This window comes from Homo sapiens, chromosome 4 (assembly GCF_000001405.40).
Source record: "Homo sapiens chromosome 4, GRCh38.p14 Primary Assembly".
In the NCBI taxonomy this organism is placed as follows: Eukaryota; Metazoa; Chordata; class Mammalia; order Primates; family Hominidae; genus Homo; species Homo sapiens.
In genome coordinates, this window is record NC_000004.12 from 6,534,150 (window position 1) to 6,552,305 (window position 18,156).

The following is an 18,156-nucleotide window of genomic DNA, read 5'->3' on the forward strand; positions in this document are numbered from 1 at the left end:
ATACACACACCAACACACACACATCAACACACACATCAACACATACAACACACACCAACACATACACATATCAACAAACACACACCAACACACATACACACACAGTAAGCACACCACATAGCAAGACACACACATATCCCAACACACACACCCCAACACATACACACATCAAAAAACACACATCAACACACATCAATGCCACACATCAATACGTACACTAACACACACCAACATACACACACACCAACACACACACAACACATACAACACACACACCAACACATACACATATCAACAAACACACACCAACACACACACCCTAACACACATACTCCAACAGTCACACCAACACATACAGCACACATACATCAATAAACACATCAATACACACACCCCAACATACATGCCCCACCATACAAACACATCAACGCATACAACACACACATCCTAAACACACACATCAACACATACATGAACACACACATATCAACACACACAGCCCCAAAGAGATACACACCAACACACACCCCCCAACACGCACGGCCCGCACACTCCCTCGGGCGCCTTCCTGCACCCTGTACTTCGCAGTGACAACCCCGCCTCCGCATGGCTGCCCTGGTGGATTTCTCATGGCACTCGCCCCCAGTCGGGGTCTAGTTAACAGACTGACTCTGTCTGTCTGGGTCGGCCGCTCAGTGTGAGCCTCAGGAGTCACTGTCCGCTTGCCCACTGCTGCGACCCCAGGGGCCGGCCCAGTGCTGGCCACAGCGGGCACTCAACACTGTTGGCCCAGTGAGTAAACAACGCTCCTGGCTCCTGCCCCAGCTGCCTGACAAAGTGACCCTGCCACAGTCCACAAGGAGGTGGCGCATGAAGGGGGCCTCACCCATCGGCCTGGGAGACAGGGGCGGCAATGGGGGCTGGTGGGGTGGGGCCAGGGCCCAGGCGGCAGGAGCCAGGGTCGGGGGCCCAGGGGCCAGAGCAGGGGAGGGACCGGATCCCAGCACGGTGGGGTCGGCTTCCCGCTGTCAGGCTGGCGCTGTGTCGGGCGCCTGTGACCCACAGCCCACGTCCCCAAGCTCACCGGCGCTGCTGCCCGGCTGTGAGAACGGGCTTCTTACCGGAAACTTCCATCAGCTGAGGTGGCCTCAACGTGTCCGCCTCACGCATCCTGAGAGAGGTGACTAACACAGGTCATTTCAAAAAAGGTCTTCTTTCTATTTTACTTCTATAATCAGAAAAAAAAACTAAAGTTGAGGAATCAAAGAGCCTTGGTGCATGCACGCCGCCACACACCACATGCAACGCGAGCACCGCCACCCACGGCCGCCCTGGCCGCCGCCCGGCACAGCTCCAGCCAGCCCTGGGCCAGGGTTGGAAATGCCTCCCTCCTCCCGGCTGCAGGAGCCGCCTGAGCCTCAGCTTCCAAATCTGTGAAATGGGGACGACACACCACCTTCCCCTCGGGCTATTTTGGCCCCAAATGGGGTTACTCCTCCCCATCTCCCGTCTGTCGTTTGTCTTCAAACTTCACCCCGCAGCAGCTATTTCCCCACAGCCTACGAAATCCCTCACTAGGGACTCCAGGTCACTCCCGCTTAAAAACATGGAACTAGAAGCCCCGCCCCACCCCATACAGGCCCACAGCCCACTCAGGCACAGGGACAGCTTTTCCTGGCCAACTTCTGAGCCTGCGGATGAGAGCACATGGCCACTGAGGTCCCACTGTGGCTCAGCTGAACTGTCGCCACCTCCAGGAAGCCTTCCCTGATGCCCTGTGGCAGGGACAACACCCCACGCTGCAGTCCACTGAACTAATACTTACCTTGAGGTTGCTTGGCTGCCTTTATCACAGTGTTAGTCCCGCACCACCCCCACCCCTGACAGCTTCTTTCCAGCTCCTTCCTTAGCATCTGACCATCATCTTTTCCCCACCTCACTCTGTGTAGCCTGAGGAAGGGATGAGGGTTAGGTAAATTATCAACAGACACTGAAGGAGAGCCTCTCAGCCTCAAGGTGAAGGATAGGAACTATAAACCCGGGATTATGGAAGGAAACATTGCTGTTTCAGGGGCACACAAAGTTTTATGGGTAACTTCAAAGAAGGTAAGATGTTTAGAGATGACCCTGAGTTGAACAGATTTCAACAACTAGCATGCACAGTGCACTTTCCTCACTATGTAAAGAACTCTTACAAATCAACAAGAAGACAAAGATGAAAAGCTCTGCAGAAAAGTGAGAAAAGGAGACTCACCAGTCATTCACATAAAAAGAAACACACACGAAGAAAGAAAAAGAAATAATTATTTAATCCACATAAGAAGAAAGGCAAGTGAAAAAAGGTGTGTCCACTCATCATTTTAAAAGAATGTGAATTAAACCAGAAACGTAGCACTTTTCAAATATGGCAGTGACCAAAAAAAGGCCCTGTGGCCCATACCCCGCAGGAGTGTTATCAGTGGGGAAAGCCCCTCCTGTGCAGGGTGGGTGCAGTGGAGAAGGGGGCAGCTCCACAGGGGACAATTTGACAATGTGAGGCTTCTCAATGCACAGGCCCCTTGTCTGCTAGGGATTCAGGTGTAAATCTCACTCTTCTGTCAAGAACAATCATTTCCAGTGTTGTTTGTAATGGCAAGTATTGGTAAACGACATACATGGACATCAGCATGGACCTGGGGAAATAAGACATGGCCATCTATCAGTGGATGCTAAGCAACTGTTGAACAGGATGAGGCATTTCTATGTGTGTGTGCCAATATGGAAAGATATCAGGTCAGGTGAGGTGGCTCACACCTGTAATCCCAGCACTTTGGGAGGCTGAGGTGGGCAGATCACCTGAAGTCAGGAGTTCGAGACCAGCCTGGCCAACATGGTGAAACCCTGTCTCTACTGAAAATACAAAAATTAGCCAGGCGTGGTGGTGGGCACCTGTAGTCCCAGCTACTCGGGAGGCTGAGGCAAGAGAATCACTTGAACCCAGGAGGCGGAGGTCACAGTGAGCCGAGATCGCTGCAGTGCACTCCAGTCTGGGCGACAGAGCGAGACTCCATCTCAAAAAAAAAAGGAAGAATGACATCAAAGGGGAAAAAATCAAGGTTCATAGCATGGAGGTCTAAAAACAAAGGACACACACATAAATGCTCATCAGTGCAGAGAAATGTCTGGAGGATGCACAGGCGATTACATGGGGAATGGCTCTGGGGTTGAAGGGAAAGGAGAGTGTGCCTTTCAGTTCACCTCTTCTGTTTGGTTCAAACATTGATTTTTACACACCTTCTAAAACTTTGTTTTTAGTGGCATGGCAATTTACAGATTAACCCTTTCCATAAATATTATTCAGCCTGAAAAAAAGAATAAAATTCTGACACATGCTACAATGTAGACGAACTTGAAGATTTTTTGTTTTTTTTTTTTTTTTGGAGATGGAGTCTTGCTCTTTCACCCAGGCTGGAGTGCAGTGGTGCCATCTCGGCTCACTGTAAGCTCCGCCTCCCAGGTTCACACCATTCTCCTGCCTCAGCCTTCCGAGTAGCTGGAACTACAGGTGCCTGCCACCACACCTGGCTAATTTTTTGTATTTTTAGAAGAGACGGGGTTTCACTATGTTAGCCAGGATGGTCTCGGTCTCCTGACCTCGTGATCCACCTGCCTCGGCCTCCCAAAGTGCTGGGATTACAGGTGTGAGCCACCACGCCCGGCCAAAGATATTATGCTAAATAAAATAAACCAGTCGCAAAAGGACAAATACTGTGTGATTCCACTTATATGAAGTCCTGGAGGAGTCAAATTCATAGAGACAGGAAGCAGAATAGGGGTTACCAGGGCTGGGGTTATGGAGAGTTGGTGTTAATGGGTACAAAGAAAAAGCTCCGGCGATGGGTCGTGGAGATGGTTGCACGACAATAGGAATGTACCGGATGCTACTGAATTAGACACTGAAAATGCTTAAAATGATTAGTTTTATGTTATGTATATTTTACCACATTAAAAACAATCCAAAAAAAAAGTTCTGCATTCATCATTCCATTTAATCTTCCCAACGGCCCACTGAGGCGGGCACCCCTACAAGTTGAATGACTTGTCTCAGGTCCCACAGCTGGGGCGTCAGATTTGGGAATCAAACCCAGATTCCCCTCTTCCTGGCTCTTTACCCCACCCCACGGACGCTTCCTCGGGGTACAGATATCGGCATGGAGAGGTGCCCGCCGCCCATCTGCCAAGTTCCACCGACACACAGGTGCATTGAGCCAAGTTCATCGTCCCCAGCGACGCAAGCGTTTCAGAGCAAAACGGAAACATACAAGGATGATTTAACAATCTGTGTTGATGGTGCTGAACACACCCAATGGTGGGAAGGGAACAAAATCAATCCCCTGCTATTTTCACTAGGCAAAGGAAAATGAGATGAGGTCACGTCATCTTCCAAACGCCAATAACACGGCAAATGAAATTATACAATAAAACCTCAAGTCATCCACCGTGGCAGCAGATGTTCCCTTGGCCAAAGGGGCTCAGGGTTCAGGCTTGGAGCGGTTGCACCACCCACACCACGTGCTACGTTCACGAAAGAGCCGGCCGCCAATGCAGTCTGTCCCTCTAACTTGTTCTCGTTACAAAGGCAGCAGACGCGTGGAGCTGGCCGCTCCCCCGCACCGTCATGAAATGTCCTCCCGGCCCTGCTGCTTGAGCTACTCGTGGGCGGGGACCTTGTCGGTGTATCACTGCTGTTTCCCGGTACCTGCTCAGAGCAGGTGCTCCACAAATATCGAGCCCGTTACACAGTGAGTGATTTATTATACAGCTCAAACCTGCTTCTGACTTTCCACCAGGAAGGGCTAGATTGCTTCCCCCTAAAATCTGCATGCTGCAGTCTTCACCCCTAGAACCTCAGGATGTGATCTTATTTGGAAATAGGGTAGTTGCAGATGAAATGCATTGAGATGGCGTCATTAAGCTGAGTCCCTAATCCAATATGCCTGATGTCCTTCCAAAAAAAAAAAAGAGAGAGAGGGCGGAAATTTGGACACACAGACACACACACATAGGGAGAGTGCCGTGTGAGGATGGAGGTGGAGGTTGGGATGAGGCTTCCACAAGCCAGGGAGTGGCACAGGTTGTGGGCAAAACACCAGAAGCCAGGAGAAGAGGCTGGGACAGATTCCCCCCATAACCCTCAGAGGGCACCAGCCCTGCCCACACTGTGACCTTGGACTTCTAGCCTCCAGAACTGGGGACAATACGTTTCTGTTGTCTTAAACCAGCCAGTCTGTGGACTTTGCTCTGGCGGCCACAGGGCACTCACACATGTATTGTGTCACGCTTCACCGGTCTCTCTCCCAAGTCTAGTGTAACTTCCAGACTATTTCAATGACTGAGCTTTATAATATGTTGTAACATCACAGAGGACGATTCCTGCCACTGCTTTCCTTCTCCCCTTCAAAAAATAAAGGATAAAAAATCTACCATTCTGAAAGTTCTTCTCAAGCCCAGACTACAGAAGCGCCTGCCGACCAGGCAGTGGTCAAGGGTGGCAAGTGCGTGGGGAAATGGAAGAATCAGATCTGGGGTTTGCTGAGTGTCCCTGCAGGCGGAAGCTGCACTAGGCATTCCCGATTACCCTCGCTCAGCCTCACCACAACCTTGCGGGCGATACAGGAGTCTCCCCATACGACAAGTGAGGCCCCTGAGGCACAGAAACTAGATCTCCCCAAGCCCGTGCAGCTGTGTGGGTAGAGGGGTCTGGGTCCTAACCACCACACCACCCTATTCCACTAGAGAAGGCAGAAACTGGCCACGTGGCCACCTGCCCCAGGCCCGTGAGGACCCTGCAGTTAGCCCTGCCCTACTCTGTCGCCTGGCTCCAATGACACCAAGCTTCTCACTTTAAAGCATATGCAGTCTTTAATCACAGCTTTATTGAGGCATAAGCCATATACCACACACTTTACTTTTATAAAGTGTACAATTCAGTAGTTTTAGTGTATTCACAGAGCTGTGCAGCCCTCACCATGATTTACTTTTAAAACATTTCATCACCCCAAAAAGAAACCACATGTTCATTAATGGTCATTCCCCAAGCCCCTAGCCCCTGGTAACCACTAATCTGCTTTTTGTCTCTATGAATTTTCTGATTATGAACATCTCCTATAAATGGAATCATACACTATGTGGTCTTTTGTGTCTGGCTTCTTTCACTTAACATGATCTTAACATGATGTGTTCAAGGTTCATTGATGTTGTAGCGTGTGGCAGGGCTTCCTTCCTTTTTAGGGCTGTATAATACTCCACTGTATGGATAGACCATATTTTGTTTACCCATTCATCAGTTGATGGACATTTGGGTTGTTTTCATTTTTGGCTACTATGAATAGTGCCACTATGAACATTCATGTGCAACTTTTTGTATGGATGGATGTCTTCAATTCTCTTTGGTAGATGCCTAGGAGTAGAATTGCTGGGTCATGAGATAAATCTATGTTTAACCTTTTGAGGAACTGCCAAACTACTTCCCAAAGTGGCTACACCATTTCACGTTCCCACCACAGTGCATAAGGGCTCCACACATGTGGTTTCTGCATGAAGATGGGTGTGCTCAGAATGGTCTTTCCTTGTGCATCAGGGAGAGACTGATGGGGATACATGGGAAGAAAGCAAAAATCTCCATTTGGGCTTCCCAGCCTGTATCAGTTAGGAGCTGTGTTAGAAAGCTAGGAAGAAATGTAGGGTTTTTCTCTTTTATAAAATAAAGCCAGAGGCCAGCAATCCAGCACTGGAGCAGAACTCTGTGTTGTGGTTAAGGCTCCAGATCCCTTCTGTCTATCTGCTTCTCCATCCATAGCATATGGTGTCCTCAAGTCACTTCATGATTACAAAATGGCTGCCATTGCTCCAGCCATCACATTCCAGACAAGAAGAAAACAAGGGAAAGGGCAGGGGCCAGCTGAGTCATTCTCTGTGGAGGATCTTTCCCAAAAGCCCCACCCAGTGATCTCAGCTTATGTCCCATTGGTTAGAACAGGGTCCCATGGCCACCTCTGCTGAATTACAGACCTGGGAATATGAATTTCAGCTGGACACACAGCCCCCTGATTTAAGTCAGGGCTGTTAGCCAGAAATCCAGGAAGAATGGATATTGGGAAGACAACCAGCACTGTCCTATCCTCCATTCTCCAAAATAGCTGCCACCTGAGGGTTGCAGCATTTGGGAGTTACTAGAATACAGGTCAAGATTAATTAATTAATTAATTAATTAATATCTGTTTCTCTCTGCCTGCTGTCCACCACATAGGTTCCCTGTCACACAGGAGCGCTGGAGCAGAGGTGGACAGAGTGGTCAGATCCTCAAAAACCCTGCCCTGACCAGACCAGACCCTCGCAGGGGATCATGAGTTGTTTCGTTTGTTTGTTTGTTTGGTGAGACAGAGTCCCACTCTGTCACCCAGGCTGGAGTGCAGTGGCGCGATCTCAGCTCACTGCAACCTCTGCCTCCCAGGTCAAGCAATCCTCCTGCCTCAGCCTCCAGAGTAGCTGGGATTACAGACACCTGCCATCACGCTCAGCTAATTTTTGTATTTTTAGTAGAGTTGGCCAGGCTGGTCTCAAACTCCTAGCCTCAAGTGATCCACCCACCTTGGCCTCCCAAAGGGCTGGGATTACAGGTGTGAGCCACTGTGCCCAGCCATGTGAGTCATTTTCTAACTTTAAAAAAAGGGAGGAGGGGAACCAAGTGGAATCCCTGAGAAGGCAGGAAATTGCTGACTGAGCTACTGATTCCCTCGCTGCATAGGTTCCGTCATCTAACAAATATTTCTCGAAGACCTAGCATGGGCTAAGCTGCCAAGTACTTTAAGGGATTCATGACAAATTCCTGTCCTTTATCCAGGAGCTAAGTCAAATGCACTCGTGATCACAATGAAAGACCACAGTACCCTCCAAAAGGGACAGTGACATTCTACAGAGCTTAGGGAGCAGTGCGCTCACTCCCAGCCACCATGTGAACAAACTGAAGCCCAGAGAGGTGCTGTGACTGTCCCTGGTCGCCCAACAATAACCCCTGGAGATCTGCACTAAACAAGGCATGCCGCAGACAGAGGCCACACTGGAGGCAGAAGCCAGTCCTATGCCTAGGGGATGCTCCCCCAAACCTCATGATCATCTTCAAAAAGATTAATAAAGTCAACAAACCTCCAACAACATTAACTAAGGAAGAATGCATTTGACAGGACAGAACACATTACAGAGATTTAAAAGATAACGCGAGAATGGTTGGGCGCGGTGGCTCACGCCTGTATCCCAGCACTGTGGGAGGCCAAAGTGGGCGAATCACCTGAAGTCAGGAGTTCAAGACCAGCCTGGCCAACATGACGAAACCCTGTCTCTACTAAAAATACAAAAAATTAGCCAGGCATGGTGGCATGGTGGCAGGCACCTGTAATCCCAGATACTAGGGAGGCTGAGGCAGGGAGAATTGCTTGAACCTGGGAGGCAAAGGTTGCAGTGAGCCAAGATCACACCACTGAACTCCCCTTGGGTGACAGAGCAAGACTCTGTCTCAAAAAAAAAAAAGAAAAAGAAAAAAAGATCATGCTAGATTACTGTGAAAACTTAGAAGAAACAGATAAATTTCTAGAAAAATACAGCTCACTAACACTGACACGAGAAGAAATAGAAAACCAGACTTTGTGCTTCCACTGTAAAGTTTAAGTGAAAAAGCCACAACCTTAGATATTTACAACCCATTTGAACTCAGGATTCATGTGCAGAATATATTAGAAGGACAAAATTGTCGTAATCAATTTTTGGAAGACAACCCAACAGGAAAAAAAGCAGGGAGGCCTGCATTTCAAAGAACAGAAGCATGTTTGGCCAACAGAGTGGACTCAGAGAGGGGCCACCCAGACGCCCCGCAAGGAGGGATCTTTGCCGCAGCAGGCGGGGTGCTGTCAGGAGACACCTGCAGGGTGGATCGCCTCCTGTGACTGGGCAAGCGTGAAGAAGCAGCCATCTGGGCCCAAGGCAGGACGGCGTGGATGCACCACCGCAGCCCCTGAGCTCCTCACAGTCAGCCACAGCTGTCAATGGACTACAACTCGGCTCAGCTCTCCCTCTGCCCAATCCTGCTGCCTTCCCTCATCAATCAGGCATGGACCCCAAGAGCACGTCCTAATCGACACCCCACACACTGAATTCCACCCAGCTCAGCCTCTGCCTCCTATGGGCCAACCAGGGCAGCCAATGAACATGGTCACCAAAAAAAAATGGCAATGGTTAAAAAAACAACAACAAATACCAGGCCAGGCGTGGTGGTTCATGCCTGTAATCCCAGCACTTTGGGAGGCCAAGGTGGGCAGATCATGAGGTCAGGAGTTCGAGACCAGCCTGACCAACCTGGCCAAACCCCGTCTCTACTAAAAATACAAAAATTAGCTGGCCTCTCCCCTGATGTCAGCTGCTAGCAGGACAGCTGGCCAAGGGACCCCTGAGAACCATGCTTAACCAAGCGGCTGACATGGAGACGGAGAAGCAGCTAGGGGCCACCCAGCTTGTCACATAAAGCGTGAGCGCGGAGTGCCAGGAAACAGGCTCCCTTGCCCTGCCCGTCCTGCTACCTATGACCTCACATCCCAGGCCTGGACATCCAGTTGCCACCTCATGACCATGAGCAAGAAACCCACACCTAAGATACAGCCCCAAGCAGTACTGGGGGTGGTAAAGCCGAGCATGTTTCTTTTACGTGGGTCTGCTCTCCGTAACACCCATGAGGAATCTCATCTCTGACTTTCGGCCCCCGAGCTGAGCTGTCAACACAGCAGCCTTCACTCATCCAAGGATCTGCCTTCCATGGAAGACGCTCAAGTCCCCAGAGTGGACTGCCCACAAGGAGGGGAAAAAGAAGCCCAGTGTCCCCTACCCCAACCATCCTCACCCTGGCCCCATTTGTTTACTGAAGGACAAGAACCAGACTCAAAGAAAGAGGGTCTGGTCCAAGGCTGAGCTTGGCAGAGCAGAAAGACAGTGGAGCCTGGTTCCTGTTGGCCTCACCCAGCCAAGCCATGAGCTCTGGATGGCAGACCCCTTGCCTTTTACGGTGAAAATGTTTTTGCAGCCCTATCTCTTTCAGTTCCAGCTACCGGAAGTCCCTCTAGTCAATTTTCCTCCTACTTGTAGATGAATGCTTTCCTGGTTTATTATCATTATTATTTTTATTTTTAGAGACAGGGTCTTGCTCTGTTGCCCAGGTTGGAGTGCAGTGGCATGATCACGGCTCACCGCAGCCCCAAACTCCTGGGCTCAAGTGATCCTCCCAACTCAGCCTCCTGAGTAGCTGGGATTAGAGGTGTGGGCCACCATGCCCAGCTAATTTTTGTTTAAGAGACGGGATCTCACTATGTTGCCCAGGCTGGTCTCTAACTCCTGGCCTCAAGTGATCCTCCTGCCTCAGCCTCCCAACGTGCTGGGATTACAAGAATAAGCCAGCACACCCGGCTCCAAAAGCATTCCTAAATTGTATGTGATTATTTGCACAAAGTGTCCCCCTGTGCTCGGGCAGAAAAGGAAGAAGCATAAGCAAGAGTCTTCCTCTTGAAATAGAAACTGCTGGCCAGCTAACACCCTTCTCCCTGTGCTCTGCAACTGTGGATGCCCCAAAGAAGCAAATTAGCACAAACTCCCAGAAGCAAACCAATGCTACAATTGGAAAACAATGTCCCTGTCACTGCACAGTGAGGTTGATTCCAGGTTTATTTTGTGTTGCTCCTACTGTCAAATAATTCTTCAGTGAATTTAGGCAGAAGGAGATTTCTTAAATTTTTTTTTATAATTTCCTCAGGATAAATCCCCAAGAGTGTAAATGCAGTGTCAGGAAGGATGACGACTTTTTCCAGTGCCTGCTGCCTAATGCCAGGCCGGTTCTCAAAGGGGTCCCCACAGCCTGGGGCTCTCCCGGGCTCACCCTCACCATACCAGCACCAGGAGATACGTTATTAATGAAAAAGTCAGGCCTATTGCCTCCTCCAGACATTTTGGAAAAGCTCACATAGTTTTTAGGGATTTGTTAAAAATTCATTTCAGAAGTTCTACCAACGCACCAGTATTTCAACAACTGCCTAAGTAAACAACAAAATGACTGAAATCGTGTTATAATTTATCATAGTAGCAGTGGAGCTCAAAATCAATAAGTTAATTTACCTCCACTAACAAGGTGCTTTAGAGTCACAAGTGAGTACAAAATCAAATGCCTAAAAGGTGCAGGCCATGAGGGACCAGGTATGCCAGAAGACTAATCACCAAAAATTACTGTCTTAAGTCTCAGGTGTCATAAAGCCAGGCATGTTTCTTTTACATAAGTCTCTTTTCCATGATACCCATGAGGCTCAAGGCAGAGAACCAGACACCAAGGAAGAGGCTCTGGGACAAGGTCAGGGGGCCTGGTTCCCATCCCAGCTCAGACATGAATGCACTCAGCCATTCTGAACCAGTGGCTGCACCTCTCTGACATCAGTTTCTCCTATAGAATCTCTGAGCAACCCTCTTTTTCTAAGAATCCCCAATTCCCTGCCTGACTCTTGTTAGCTGGGGCACCTCGGGTGGGCAGTTTCATTCTTCAGGGCCTCAGTTTCTTCAGCTGTAAGGTAAACACAGTAAGGCAACGTTTGCTTCTCTCTTAGGGCCATCACATGGATTCAAGCAAGATATTGTAGCAAAATCAGTATTTCGCTGACCAACATCTACTGTTGATTTAGCTACAAAGGGTTGTGGGAATAGAGGTAGAAAGCTATGGAAGGCAATGCCCCAGCACCACAGTTCCCTGGGTGGGGGGTGGGGGGGTTGCGTGGGGCAGTTTCCAGAGAAGCATGGAGAGATGGAGTTATTGGGACCCACAAAGCACAGAATCAACACGTGGCTAAACGAGAAGGGCCCTGAGAACGATAATAGCAGCTGTCGCTGACTTAGCATCAATGGTGCACTGGCCACTGTATTCAGAGCTTTGGAGACATATCCATGGGAACTCTGCAAGGTCAGGTTTATGGTCAGGATCTTCCATAAGAGGAAGGCAAAAGGTTTCAAGTGTGGCTGCAGTACAGCCAGAGTCAAACCGGTGATCACGGGCAAGGCAGGGTTGAGTTGGACATCACATCTCCTGACTTCACACCTGGGAGGGGGTGCACTGGAGGGGCCGTTGACACACAGCATGTGCTTTAAAAAAAGTATTAGTAGTGGTCATAGCAATAGGAATAATAGTATCTTGAGATTACTAAAATCTGCAGCATCTCATTAATCCTCACAATAACTTCTTAAAGGAGCTGTGGTTATCATTCCCACTTAACAGATGAGAAAAAATCAAGGCTCAGGGATGTGCAATGACTAGCCCAGGGCCACACAGCTGGTGAGTGGTAGATTCTGACAAAGCCTTCTCAGGCCTGCACCCTTCACTAAGCATCTCAGCCGTCCCTTCTCTTTCCAACCTCAGGGATGCAAAGGTTGGGGACCACATATTGGGAATATAAAACAGTATATTTCTTAGACCCAAAGGTGTGTTCGTTTTCAAAGGAACAGAAAACAGGGCTGAAGCCCTCAGGAGCTCCCGGGCCCATCATGTGCTCCACCCGCTGTCAGAATTTCAGCACCAAGAACAGCGACAGACTTAAATCATGGCGCCCTCTGGTGGTCCTTATGAAAAAGGGCAGGCCGTGAAGCGGGGGCTCTGCCGAGGGTCAGCCCGGAATCTTTGGAAAAGGGTGGGGACAAAAGATGGAAGAGGGGAGAAAAGGAAAGAGGGGAGGAAAGAGAGACGGGAAGAAGAGCAACAGCTAACGGCCCCCAAGCACAGGTAGCAGACAGCCTCTAAATGCTCCCAGCGGCTCACATTCACCTGATAACCTGGGGTTGGGGGAGCATTTGGGGGAAACTTGTGCAAGCCAGACCTCGGCCTCTGAAAACATTTACTCATCTTCAAAACATGCAGTCACTCAGATTCGGCGATTATCAAGATTTTGCCACACTTGCTTCATCTCTCCCTTTTTTTTCTCTTGCCTATTTTTTCTTCACTGGAGATTTTAAAGTAAAATCACGCCCTTACACTTCAGCATGCATCTCTAAAAATATGGGCACTTCCTTACATAACCAAAATGCCATTATCACACCTAACAAAGCAACAATAGCTTCTTGGAATCATCTAGTAGAGTCCCTAATCTAACTTTCCTGAGTGTCTCGGTGAAACCATAAGAAGGTATGATAAGGAAGCTAACCAAGGAAATAGCAGATTCTCGCCCTCGACCTCACTGGTCACCCTGTGCTCCAGTACCCGTGGGAACACTGGACACTGGGTGCCTTCTGGCGGGATGCACTGGGAAGCCCACCTCACCAATAACCAAGCATTCCTGCCAAGAAAAACAGGCCTGAGGCTCAATCTAATAAACGCTCTGCGGATTTCTGATTATGAAAATAGAGGGGCAGGAGAGAAGTGCCCAGGGACACCACAGGGAAGCCATAGATACACCCAGAAGGCAGGACCTCCTACAGGATAAAGGACCCAGCGTCTGCAATGGGCCTGGGGCAGGTGCAAAGGGTGATCTTTCAGCTAGTGGTGCTGAAACAACCGGACATCCATATGCAAAAACGCAACGGGACACAGGCCTCTCATCTCAGAGAAAAATTGGTTCAAAACAGATCACACACCTACATGTGAAGCCTAAAACCATGAGACTTTTAAAAGTCTCAGATAAGCACATAAAAAGATGCTCAACATTTTTAACCATGGGGGAATTACAAATTAAAATCATAATGGGGCCAGGCACGGTAGCTCACACCTGTAATCCCAGCACTTTGGGAGGCCAAGGCAGGCAGATCACTTGAGGTCAGGAGTTCGAGACCAGCCTGGCCAACGTGGTGAAACCCCATCTCTATTAAAAATACAAAAATTAACCAGGCATGGTGGTGGGCACCTGTAATCCCAGCTACTCCGGAGGCTGAGGCAGGAGAACTGCTTGAACCCGGGAGGCAGGGGCTGCAGTGAGCCAAGATCATGCCACTGCACTCCAGCCGGGGCAACAGAGTGAGACTCTGTCTTAAAAGAAAAAGAAGAAGAAGAAGAAGAAGAAGTCATAATGGGGCACAACCACACCTGTTAGGATGGCTAACACTCAGCCTCTCTGAGCCTCCCGGTCCCCCACTGGTGGAATGAGATGGATGACAACCCACCTTCTCCACCTCCAAGCTTCCTGCTCCCATCCTCACAGCCACCAGCCGGCACATCCCAAAGCACAGACACAAGGGCTGATGAGGGTGCAGAGCGCCTGGAACCCTTGTGCGTGACATCTGTGGATGCAAAGACAGCACAGCGACTCCTGAAAACAGCCCTGTATTTGGATGCTGAGTCAGTTAGGAGTGAAGAGGTTTATTGGGAGGTCACACTTGTTAAAGGTAAAAGGTAGAAGAGCCAGTGTGGGCAGGTAGAGCTTCCCGACAGCCATGCAAGTGTGACTGACCCTCTCAGCCAACCGACAGCAAGCTCCAGGGCAAAGGCTGCCTGCCAGAGTCCTGGTGTGTGCAGAAATGGGCAGGCCCTAGAAATCCCTCCAGGGGGCAGTCATTGGCTGAGGGCTGCCAGAAAGAACAGCCTTGGTTCAGTGGGAGAGGCAGATCCTGAAGATGCCAAAATCCAGAGGCAGTCAAGCGACTGCCTGCCCTGAGGCTGGACAGCAAAGTCTTTCTTGAAGGGGGATCTGAGCCTCGCACCTCCTTCTGCCCACCTCCCTAAATGAACAGTGCCCGTCCCTTGGCAGCCCTCTCCCCGCCTTCCCTCTTAGCAGTACTGTCACCCCAACATGCTCTTGAATGTTTATGTGTTTGTCCCTTCACTGACAGATCCCCCATTGGCTCAGTTCCTCCCACGTGCAAGGTGTCTGGTAAATATCTGTTGAATAAATTGGTTAATCCTGTCCAGACCTCTGGAGCTAAGCCACTGGTCTAAGCCACCATCATTGCTCACTCCTACACTGCAGTAGCCTCCAAAGTCATCCCCTGGTTCTCACTTTGCCCCCCACAAAGTCCATGCCCCATACAGCAGGCAGACTGACGCTGTAAAAATGGAAATTGGACCACGTCGTTTTTCCACCTCCACCCCCACCCTTCCCACTCTCTGCTTTGGCCACACCAGCCTCCTTGCTGCCACAGAACACGCCAGGCTCATTTCATTCCAGAGCTTTGCACCTGGATCCAGTGACAGACAACTCCAGATGGAGGGTGGTCCGGGGAGGCCTCCCGGAGGAGGTGACTTTTCAGCTGGGACCTGAATAATGACAAAGATACAGGGAAGGGAGTCCCAGGCAGAATCACAGAAGGTGAGGCCCTCAGGAGTGAAATGCCCCTCACCTGTGCCTTCCTGGGCACGACCCTCCACTTCTCCACCTGCAGAGCCAGACTGATAACACCGGCTCCTTCCTGCTCCTGTAGAGTGGCCACAGGTTTGCAGCCCTGAGAGCAGTGGGCTCTGATGACACCTGCTGGCTGTGTGACCTCACGTAACCCCTCCTCATCCCTAGGGAGGATAACGGGAGGCACCTGCAGCACGGGCAGTAGCTGGAGCCCACGGATGAGCTTTAAGGTATGAGCTACTTTCCCACGTAGGGCCTGGCACACAGTAGGCACTTATTCAGTGGTGGCCACTATTGAGCCTGCCCTGACAGTCCTTATGGGACAGCAGCTGTAACGAACGTTATTTCTCGAGACTCAGTTCCCAGGTGAATATCTGGGGAGAAACATGCTCAACTGATGCTTGCAGAGAAGTATTTCTTTAAAGTGACATAACCAGCCCTCACCCTGTGCCAATAAAGGTCTGGCAGCACCACAGTGCTTTATTTTTAACCTGTCACCTTGTCACCGCAGCACGAGGTGCAGCTGAGGTCACAGCGGGGTAGGGGGACAGCCAATGGCTCATCCCACGGGCCTGGGCCCCAGTCTCACCTCCATGCTCACTGCCTGCATGACCTTGAGTGAGTCACTCAGCCTCTCTGAGCCTCCCCGTCCCCCACTGGTGGAATGAGATGGATGACAACCCACCTTCTCCACCTCCAAGCTTCCTGTTCCCCTCCTCACAGCCACCAGCCGGCACATCCCAAAGCACAGACACAATCAGCCCCCAGCCCAGTTACCAAGTCTGCCCCCTCCCCACAGTGCCCTCAGGCCAGCACATGAGACCCTTGCCAAGACACCCCCACTACCCTCTGCAGCCTCAGCTCTCACTGCTTCCTCCCGGGAAGGCTACGCCCAGCTGCACAGAACTTCACCCTTCACTAACAAGCCATGCACTCCTACAACGCCAACCCGAAACACGTGCTGTTTCCTCTGCCGGGAATGCTTTCCCCTCATTCTTCTAGCTTAATATCTTCTACTCTGGGAAGCACAGACAGACCTGGCCCCTCCTCACTCCCTGCATGAGGCTCCAGGGCAACCAGTCTACAATATTTCGCAGAGCATCTTAGGGGGACACTCTTTTTTATTTAGAGATGGAGTCTTGCTTGTTTGTTCCCCAGGCTGGAGTACAGCTCCACATCTGGCACTATCACAGCTCACTGCAGCCTCAAATTCCTGAGCTCAATGGATACTTCTGCCTTAGCCTCCTAAGTAGCTGGGACTACAGGTGCAGGCCACCATGCCCAGCTAATTTTCTTTAATATTTTATAGAGATAAGGGCTCACTGTTGCCCAGGCTGATCTTGAATTACTCACCTCAAGTGATCCTCCCACCTCAGCATCCCAAAGTGCTGGGGTTACAGGCATGAGCCACAGTGCCCAGCTAGAGCAACACTTTTGTTTTGGTCTCTCTCTAGAAAGAGAGTCCTCCTGGAGGTCAATTGCCATACCTTCCTCGCCTCCGGGGCCATGGAGCCTGGTGGTTATGCACAAGCCTCTCCAGTTAGGTTGCCCGAGCTCAAAGCCCACTCTCCCACAGGTTAGCTCAGCAGCCACAGGTGAGCCTCTTCCCCTTTTGTGCTGCAGTATCCACATGTGTAAGCTGGGGATAAGAAACATACCTGCCTTCCAGGGGGATTGGAGGCTACTTGGCCTCAGAAGGCACTTAGAAAGCCCCTGGCAAGTCACGAGTGCTCATGTATGTCACATGCTCCTAATGTGCTCTCTGGGTTTCCAGCACAGACCACAGCCTGCAGTGGGTGCTCAGGTGATATTTGTAGAATGAATGAACAAACACGTGGCATGGAGAACAAAGCCAATAGGAGTCCAGTGGGAGAAAAGTAACTGAAACTCCCAGCTGGAAAAGGAGAAAATAAAACTAGAGGTAAAGTGTTGTGGTATGGCCACAAGTCCCCCCATCAAGAGATGAGGTCTATGCCTCCTCCTCTTGAGTCTGGTGGGCCTGTGACCCACTCAACCAAGAGCCTAGCAGAAATGAAGCTCTGGGACACCAAAAGCTGGGCATCAAAGGCCACACAACTGCCATCTTGTTCCCTGGACATTGCACCAGGAAACTTGAGCACCATGGAAGGAGTCCCACCACCCTGGGCTGCCATGCTGGACAAGCCACATGTCAGGGCTCAGGTGACAGTCCCAGCTGAGCTCAGCCCCTGCTGTCCCCACCAAGGCACCATAAATTACAGGGAAGCCACTGTGGGCCACCCAGCCCAGTCCATCCTCCAGCTGAACACCAACAAGCGACCTCGGTGTAGGCAACATGCAGCAGAAGAATCACCCAGCTGAGCCCTTCCTCAGCTCCTGGCTCTTAAAACCATGAAACACAATGAAATGGCCATTCTCAGCTGGCACATCATGGGATCATTTGTTAGGAAGCCACAGATAACTGGAGAGAAAGTGGAGAGACTTTGGAAGTGGAAGGAAAAGATGATGTGAGTGAAGATGAGACAAGTGGCAGCAAAGGACCAGCAAAGACAGCAGGTGCTGTGTGTGCTACACATCTGAGCCTACAGGTCCACTTTTGCCACAAGGGGAGACCTGAGCCCACTGTTCCCAAATGCAGTAATCATTTCCATGGCACCTGCTCTGAAATGCAGGCAGTCTCCCTGCAATTTTTTCATTTGTTCTCATTGTGTAAGTTCCCTATGGCTGCTGTAACACATTTCCACAACCATAGTGGCTTAGAAAAACAGAAGCTTATTCTCTAACTGTTCTGGAGGTCAGAAGT

The 18,156-nt window shown here is 50.2% G+C and overlaps 1 protein-coding gene across 3 annotated transcripts in view, besides 3 other annotated features; it reads right to left on the reverse strand.

Moving 5' to 3' along the window:
* The window catches only part of PPP2R2C (protein phosphatase 2 regulatory subunit Bgamma), a 243,219-nt gene that overhangs the window by 213,569 nt on the left and 11,494 nt on the right, over positions 1-18,156 (reverse strand). For 2 of the 3 annotated variants that reach the window (NM_001206994.2, NM_001206995.2), the window contains exon 2: positions 1,122-1,228. The exons of the other annotated variant lie outside the window; for it this stretch is intronic. In NM_001206994.2, coding sequence (NP_001193923.1) covers positions 1,122-1,170 — 49 coding nt within the window. In that variant the 5' untranslated portion in view covers positions 1,171-1,228. The remainder of the gene's footprint in view (positions 1-1,121; positions 1,229-18,156) is intronic. 3 annotated transcript variants of the gene reach the window in all.
* Positions 12,540-12,589: a silencer, noted in NCBI's record as "silent region_15231". NCBI's record gives its function as "represses an Ori minimal core promoter by ATAC-STARR-seq in GM12878 lymphoblastoid cells {active_cell/tissue: GM12878}" and the evidence as "EXISTENCE:reporter gene assay evidence [ECO:0000049][PMID:35858748]".
* Positions 15,580-16,080: an enhancer, noted in NCBI's record as "H3K4me1 hESC enhancer chr4:6551456-6551956 (GRCh37/hg19 assembly coordinates)". NCBI's record gives its function as "activates a minimal SCP1, AML or CMV promoter by ChIP-STARR-seq in primed H9 embryonic stem cells {active_cell/tissue: H9 hESC(primed)}" and the evidence as "EXISTENCE:reporter gene assay evidence [ECO:0000049][PMID:30033119]".
* Positions 16,081-16,581: an enhancer, noted in NCBI's record as "H3K4me1 hESC enhancer chr4:6551957-6552457 (GRCh37/hg19 assembly coordinates)". NCBI's record gives its function as "activates a minimal SCP1, AML or CMV promoter by ChIP-STARR-seq in primed H9 embryonic stem cells {active_cell/tissue: H9 hESC(primed)}" and the evidence as "EXISTENCE:reporter gene assay evidence [ECO:0000049][PMID:30033119]".